The sequence below is a fragment of the Homo sapiens genome, chromosome 12 (assembly GCF_000001405.40).
Source record: "Homo sapiens chromosome 12, GRCh38.p14 Primary Assembly".
Lineage (NCBI taxonomy): Eukaryota > Metazoa > Chordata > Mammalia > Primates > Hominidae > Homo > Homo sapiens.
In genome coordinates, this window is record NC_000012.12 from 114,442,581 (window position 1) to 114,450,162 (window position 7,582).

Below are 7,582 nucleotides of genomic sequence, written 5' to 3' on the forward strand. Positions count from 1 at the left end.
AGTCCAGCTGGATTATGTGGACTCCTGCCCCAGGCAGCCACATATTTCCCACCACCACCACCCACCCATACCAAAGTTGTTGGGGGAGACTTTGTGGACAGATTCACTGGACTTTGTTAGTGTAGAACCAGCCTCTATCCTTGAGGTCTGTCATAGATTACAAGATGCAGGGGCCTGAAGAAACAAAAGTGTTAGAAATTGGTGCTTTCTGGGGAAAATGGGATCCACTGGGATTGAGATCCAACAGACATTTCCTAAATAGAAAACATTGACACGGTTGTCCCAAACCCTAGCCCTGTTCCTCTGCTGCCCAGTGACCTTGGTTCAACACACACAAACACAAACACAGACACAAACACACAGCCTCTAAATGCAGGAAGAGAGTTTCAAACAAATACAGGAGATTTGTTTTGTTTGCCTTTCTTTCTTTCTCTTTCTTTCTTTCTTTCTCCTTTCAAGGTAAAAGGGGTGTATTTACACTTCTCGTGACATAATGGAGATGAAAGAAAATTAGAAAATTATGTGGAAATTTTGGCCCATCTTCTCATTTCCCTTATACACTTAATTATCTGGAAATTTGGGAAAAGTTGAGACATCTAGTGTGTGGATGACCAGAGAGATTGCTTTAATTCTCTAATTTGGGAAACCTGGTGGGGCTGCCTCTGAAGCTCTTCTTCCAGCCATGAACATACTCAGAAGCCCAAGAAGCTCAGAGAAGATGCCAAGGTAACCACCACTCTCATCACCACACCCATCTCTCCCTCCCTTCTCCATCACAACCTTGGGAGCATTGTGGAATTTGCCAGGGAAAAATAAATCCAGAAGTACTGTATCAGAAAAATTCAGGAGAGTGAGCAGGCATCCAGCCACAGCTGGAGAGCAGAACACTGTGCTAATACAATCTGGACGGTTGTCCCCATAACAGCAGATGTTGACTACCTGGCAAATCCAGGAAATTCTGGGAAATTCAGTATAACATTTGGATAATTGACAGTTTTGCCTAGGTAATTCAAGAGACTCATGATGGAGGAATCCGTAATTAGGCAGCCAATTCAAACCTCTCTAAACGAGTTTAGGTTAGTTTAAGTTAGCTGTGTTTTGTTTTAATTCAGAATGCTCAGTTTTCACTGGAATTTCCACCTGGGCCACACTCACGGAGGCAGAGAACAGCCCGTCCCGGTGGCCACTTTTCTTGGCCAAGCCCCCAGAGCAAATCCCTGGGGGCCCTGCAGGGCTAGAGTGGAGGCCACTGGGAGGGGAGGGTCGCTGGGGTCGCTGGGCGCGCGCGCGCGGAGCAAATTTGCCCGCGCGCACCCAGAAACGATGACATAAGTGGCGCTGATGAGCGCTGCGCGGCTGAAACGCGACTACATAAAGGGTCCGCCGGCAGCGTGGGCCGGAGGGATTGCTTCACACTCCGGAATTGGGCCCAGACACATTTAGAAATGTTTTGCTGGACGTGTGCCCCGCAAGGGCGACAGCGGCAGCCGGCAGCCTGGGTGAAGCTGCGCCGCTGGTCACAGGCTGGCGCGCGGCGGCGGCCACAGAGGCGTCCTAGGTGGAGAATGCTTCTGCCTTTGCCTGTTCTCCCCTAACCCCCACGTTTGTATGCCTCCTGGGGACAGGGGTCTGTCTGCAGCCTGCAGCGCCCCAGCTGTGACCAGAGAAGCATTAAGGAGCGGCGCGGGCAAGAATTTGGCATCAAAGGAAATACTGTAGGTTTCAGCATCGGTCTCTCCCGCTGATCGTCGGGCTCCGCGGGGCACAGGACCAACCTGGTCACAGCTGGGCCTCCAGAGCTCAGCACCGAGCCTGAAACTAATGGGATATTTATCAAATCAATGAATGAACCCAGAAATCAGGCTTTCAACCCTAACATTCTCCTCATTCACTATGAGACACGGAATGCCTCTCTCTGGCCCTGTCTCCTCTGTAGAGTAACAGGGCAGTCTTTCGGGTTCTGCCCACGCTCTTACAACTCAGTCATAAGAAGCGATAACCACAGAAACATCTGACACTAATTGACCACCTACACTTTTCTACGAGCTTTGCAGTCACTTAATCTCCCAACAACCATCGGGGTAGATACCGTTATATCGCCATTTTACAGAGAAGCAAACGGGAGGTCAAACAGGCTGACCCAGGCCGCCTAGTTCCTGCGGGGATTTGACGACTGTGGGAATCCCGTGCTCGGAAGGCGGGCGTTGCTACAGGGCACGATGAATGTTGAGCCCGTGCCCCAATTTCGCCAGACTTAACGACAATTCCTACACAAGTCCCCCCAGCAACAAGGAGGGCCAGCCTTCGCTCCTGCTTCTCTCTTAGTTGTATATCTGGAGCCAAGGAGTCCAAAACAGCTCACCAGCTCTAAGTGCACACATATCAGGGCTGGGAGCCGGAACCGCCTGGGCATGCGTTCCTGCGCGCTTACTCCTGAGGCCAGGGAAAAAGGTTTGCCTGCGATCCTGACCAAGGCCACGCATTAAAAGACTGCGTGGAATCCTTAAAGCCTCTAAGAATCTAACGTCCTAAGAAAGACCACCCCAGAAGTAGATGTGATGTACCTAAGCCCTGGCATTCGGGCTCTGCGCCTCACCAGCGTCTTTACGCACAGGCGCAATTGCGCCGGGCACTAGGGCGCAAACCCGGATCCTGCGCGCTGGCTTCTGTTACCTCCCGGCTTCGACTTCGGCTGCTGCACACTCGTCAAAGTAATGAATGGAGAGAGAAAAGAAGAGGGGGGGAGGGAGGGGGCATTGTGAAGGGGGTGGAATATTTTGGAAATAATACCCTGAGAGAAGGAAATATGGACAACAGTTTATCAGCACCCCCGCCCCCATTGTCCGCATGTTTAAAACCCCTAAGTAATTTTAGATTGTGTCTTCAGTTAATATATCTCTCTCTCTTTCCCGCGGGCTGACAGAGAAGCGCGGTTGCTGCAAGATGTCTGCAGAAATGGGTCTTTAAAAGTTTCCACATTGTTTAGCTACACAAACGTGTTTGCGGTTCCCGAGGCCCTCCCCCTCCCCCACCCGCCTCCGAATCTCATTTCACTTTACGACTCCAATTGTTTGAGGATCCCCGCGCCACATAAATCCTGCTTCGAGATTAATCTCCCTGCTCGCTCGCGCTGGGCGCAGTGATTTTTTTTTTCTTTCTTTCTTTCTTTTTTTTTTTTTTTTTTTTTGAGTTCTTTAAAAGAGGGCGCCGGGCGGAGATTTATTAACAAGGAAAAATAGTTTATTTTTATAGCCGATCTCAGAAAGGTGGGGGTGGAAGTGGGCCGGGAAGGAGAGCGCTTCATATGGATAAACAGTGAGGCTGAGAAGGCCGGGGGGGGGGTGTTAAAGACCACTTCAGCTGGCGACTTGAACTTTTCTCACTGCCCTCAGCTCGGCTGTGGATGCTTAGCCAGGGGTTTGCCGGACTAAGGCAATAACTGGGAGGTGTGCCATTGTGGGTCGGCTGTTGGGTTGTGTGTGAGCGAGGATCCCATTATATTCCCTGGGACAAGCCTCTTCAGAGACATGGAGCCAAGGTAGAATTCCCCAAACAGGCTTCTTCTCCTCCAGGGCTGTGAGCTTTGGGTTAGTTGGAGTGGAGGTTCTTAACATGACTCCATGGATGGCTGTCACAGGTCTTCAGAGCCTGGATGCTGGTCTCAAAATTGTATTTTGGGTGTATTTTTCTGGAGAAAGTCCATAGTTTTCATCAGTGTCTCCACGGGTACTTTGCCATCCTAAAGGTTAAACATCTAGTAATTAAGGATAGAGCTAAGCTGAACCTTTCATCTTTTCAAGCCACTGGTAGCCTGCAAACTCAAGTTGTGGTCTTCAACTAGTTTAGCATTGCCCTTGAAGAGTAACCATAGCCAGGAGTCCTAATCAAGTGCACTGTGGAAGCCAGTTTCTGGGTGAATTGTGGACTGGTGATGAGCTTGTTTAGAGCTAATAATCGATTAGATCTGATACTTAGCATCAGATCAAGAACCAACGGCCCATGTGTTACTTTTAACCTCTAACTGGCTGTCTGACCTTGAACCAGTGGCAACTCCTGTCTGGGCCTCAGTTTCCCTTTGGGAAGAGACATTTCTGAAGTGTGTACATGTGTGTACTGTCTTTCACAGCCAAGAGCCTTAAGGGTACATGTAAGGAAAGAACACGTCATCTTGTTTTTTTTTGTTGTTTGTTTGTTTTTGAGACAGGGTCTCACTCTGTTGCCCAGGTTGGAGTACAGTGGCACATTCACAGCTCACTGCAGCCTCAACCTCCTGGGCTCCAGTGATCTTCCCACCTCAGCCTTCCCAGTAGCTAGTACTACAGGCATATACCACCAAGCCTAGGTAATTATTTTTAATTTTTAAATTTTTTGTTGAGGTGGAAGTCTCATGTTGCCCAGGCTGGTCTTGAACTCCGGGACTCAAGTGATCCTCCCGCCTGAGCCTCCCAAAGTGCTGGAATTACAGGTGTAAACCACCACCTGGGGCCTGTAATCTTGTAATGTTCCATCCTGCATCGACAACTCCCTGAGCTTCTGGTGGAGAAGGATGGTTCTTAACCTCAGAGGGAATGTGGATCCCACTGAGAACCTGACTTTAGAAAGATGTACCAAAAAGAGAGAGAGAGAGAAAAGCACTTACTTAAATAGGCGATTCTGTATACAGTGTTGCAGGGCCCCTCAACAGGTCTTATGAGGCCCCCTGTTTAAAGTAAAGAGAAGCCGCCTCAGCGAGCCTCTGGGCTCCGGGCCATGTGAGCCGGTTGGCCAGAGCCTGGCGGGTTCCGTGCTTGGCTAGCCAGCGGAGCGGGGTGAGAGGGTGAGAGAAGGACGCTTCTCCTTTGATTCGCAGACCCGGGCGCAGCCGGAGACCGCCCGGCACCGCGGCGTCTGTCTGTCTGAGCGCCTACTCGCGGGTCCTCTGCTGCCCCGAGTGAACTCTAGGCGCAGCTGGACCGGGGTGAGGGCGCGCGGTGAGCCCAGGCCAAGCGCTGGAAGAAACGAACTGGGGGCCGAGTTCGGGCGGCGATCTGCCGGGGACCCAGTCCTGAGCGGCTTGTTTGGGATACTGGGATTAAGGCCTCAGAGGAGCACATGGCTAGCCTCTGCAGCCCTCGGAGGGTCACTGACGCCCCCTGCTTTTCCTTCCAAATGTCTTTCCCCGAGGCTGGGGACACCTGTTCTGAGCAGAAGAGGGCAATGGTTCAACCTGTTTGACCCCGCCCGGGTCTCCTTCTGCGGGAACATACGCCCCAGTCAGCTGAGGTGCCGGCTGACTTTCCCCAGACAGTGCCAAAATGTTCTAATAACAATAGACAACCAAAAATAAGGCTTCTTCTACTTTATAAAGATCTTCCAACTCTACATCTTACCAAACGCCAACAACCCACTTAGTTCATAATAGAACTTCTCTCTGCAAGATGAGGAGGCTGGGTCCAGAGAGGTTAAGCAAGCGGCCCAGGAATGCACAGTAGTGGAAAGCCTGGACCTAAACTCAAGACTTCAGACTAAATTTCTGTCATTTTCGACTATACCACAAACAATTTCTTACAACAGGTTCTCCCACCCCAAGACAAGGCACCCCAATACGCATGCTAGCATCGCGGTGGGATGGAGCCCACGCCAAGCCTGAGCCAGGAGTCCCAGGTCGAGCTGTGGGAAAGAGAAAATGCGGATCGGAGGTCAGGTGCACCCTTACCGGCAACTTGGGGTACACAACCGGGGTCCCAGCATCACCTCCCCTCGCCCCGCGCTCATGTCCCCACTCTGAGGCCCGTGGGCACTGAGGTGGCACCGACCTCCCAGGACCCCTGCATTGCCTCACACTTTCACTTCCCTCCCTGCTCCGCAGTGTCCATAAAATACCAGCCGTTCACCTGCCTATAGCGAACGGATCCGAGGGTGGAGGCAATGACTTACCTGGTTGTGGGTGGATGGATGAAGAAGGCCTTTACTTGGAGCCTAAGCCCTGGCGCGCGCGCACCACGGCGCGAACTGCTCCATCAAGCATCCACTGGCCTCCAGCCGCGTTTCCGGTTGTAGCACTGGGCGCCCCCAGAGTGGACCCGATAAGCTATCGGCGCGGCCCAGGAGGGGCGGTCAGCGGCGAGTCAGGGCACCTCGGACCGGCTCCCGGCTCCCGGTCCGGCTGCCTGCCAGCGGCCGCTCAGGACAGAAGCGAGATGCCTGCCTAGGCGTTTCTGGTTACAATCACCTCACACACCGGCCTGCATTCCGCCTCCCCAACCCCCATCCTTACCACGAAGTCTGAAGTCACACCTTCTCCCTGGCTGGGAAGCTTTGCCAGGGTGGGGGCGATGAGTGCCGGCCGAGGTTGTTAATCTAAGGAGCTCCAGCAGGTCCGTAAAAAGGAATATTTTCGGTGGCCAGAAAAATCAACATTGAATTAGGTGTGTCACCCGCACCCCCCCGCCCCCGCCCATCCACCAGGAGTTCATTCTCTACTCATTTAGCCGGGACTGCCGTGTGTTCCTGATTATTTTCTGGAAGGGCTGAAACATACAGTTTAACGGACACTGATGTGTTTTCCTTTTATGAAGATGAAGGTCTTACAGGGAAGGAGAAAGCAAATCTTGGTTCACAGGTAGACTGAAACATAATAATAATCATCATATACGTAGCTACCATTTGATGAAAGCTTATGTGTATTAATCCTTCCAAAAAGTCAATGTGGCAGAATGATTATTTTACCCGTTTTGCAGATGAATGACCAGAGGCTTGAAAAGGTGAAGTGACATCCCGGAGTGACATGGTTGTAGGGACATCACCCAGTAGGTCTGTGCTAAAGGTTTGTGGAAAGTCTGAACCCTGTTGATCGAAAGAAAGGAATCACCCCACCCCCTGCACCCGCCACTAGCTGGTGGGCAGGCATGCTTTTTGGTAGAGGGTTGAGCAACGCCAGACTCACTGGACAAGAGGAATTGGAAGATGCGCCTGGCCTATTTTGGCTTTCCATGGGGTCCTCCCTGCCAGGGCAGAGTAAAGTTTAAGGAATTATTTGTGCATAAGAATGACTCTTAACTTGCTCGGGGAGTGAGACTCTGCCGGATTCATTCTGGATAAGATGAAGTCTAGGGCTTTCCCAAACTTCTGTAAGAACCACAACCAATCCATCTGGGTTTCTCTGCAAGCCCAGAGTCCCCAGGATGAAAGCTCAGGCCCCAGTGACCCCTTTCCTCTTCCCTCTCTGCAAGTCTTATTTCTCTGTTTGGTAAGGCCTAGGAGCCAGGTCCTTAGCCATGCCTCTGGGGTCACGCCAGGCTTTGTTGAACCTCCCCCCATCTGGAGAAAAGGGCTGCCCAGCATCCATAGGGCAATTAACCTCATTCACCCTCTCCCTACCAGTTTCCTTAAAATAAATGTGACAAACATGAGCCTAATGATCTGCTGAGGGAAGATCTATATGCCTCAGGTCTGTAACACATGGCTCCCTCCTTCCCCGGGCGGAGCAGGCAGCCCTACTTCAAAGGACAGCCTGGTTAGTGATATTGCAGGGCTTCCTGGCTTTCAGGAAACAAACAAACAAACAACCAAGTTCTTTGGGTCAGGATAACAGCCACAGATA

General features: G+C 51.5%; 1 long non-coding RNA gene across 3 annotated transcripts in view, besides 1 other annotated feature; it reads right to left on the reverse strand.

Moving 5' to 3' along the window:
• Positions 1-6,001, reverse strand: part of LOC105369998 (uncharacterized) — a 34,225-nt gene extending 28,224 nt beyond the window's left edge. For 2 of the 3 annotated variants that reach the window (XR_007063469.1, XR_945376.3), the window contains exon 1: positions 5,917-6,001. This is a non-coding gene — a long non-coding RNA (uncharacterized LOC105369998). Of the gene's footprint in view, positions 1-3,228; positions 3,740-4,639; positions 4,700-5,916 lie in introns of those variants that run through there. The other variant, XR_945377.3, reaches the window with a different exon arrangement.
• Positions 877-1,380: an enhancer, noted in NCBI's record as "H3K27ac-H3K4me1 hESC enhancer chr12:114881262-114881765 (GRCh37/hg19 assembly coordinates)". NCBI's record gives its function as "activates a minimal SCP1, AML or CMV promoter by ChIP-STARR-seq in primed H9 embryonic stem cells {active_cell/tissue: H9 hESC(primed)}" and the evidence as "EXISTENCE:reporter gene assay evidence [ECO:0000049][PMID:30033119]".
• Positions 6,002-7,582: the final 1,581 nt, after the last annotated feature.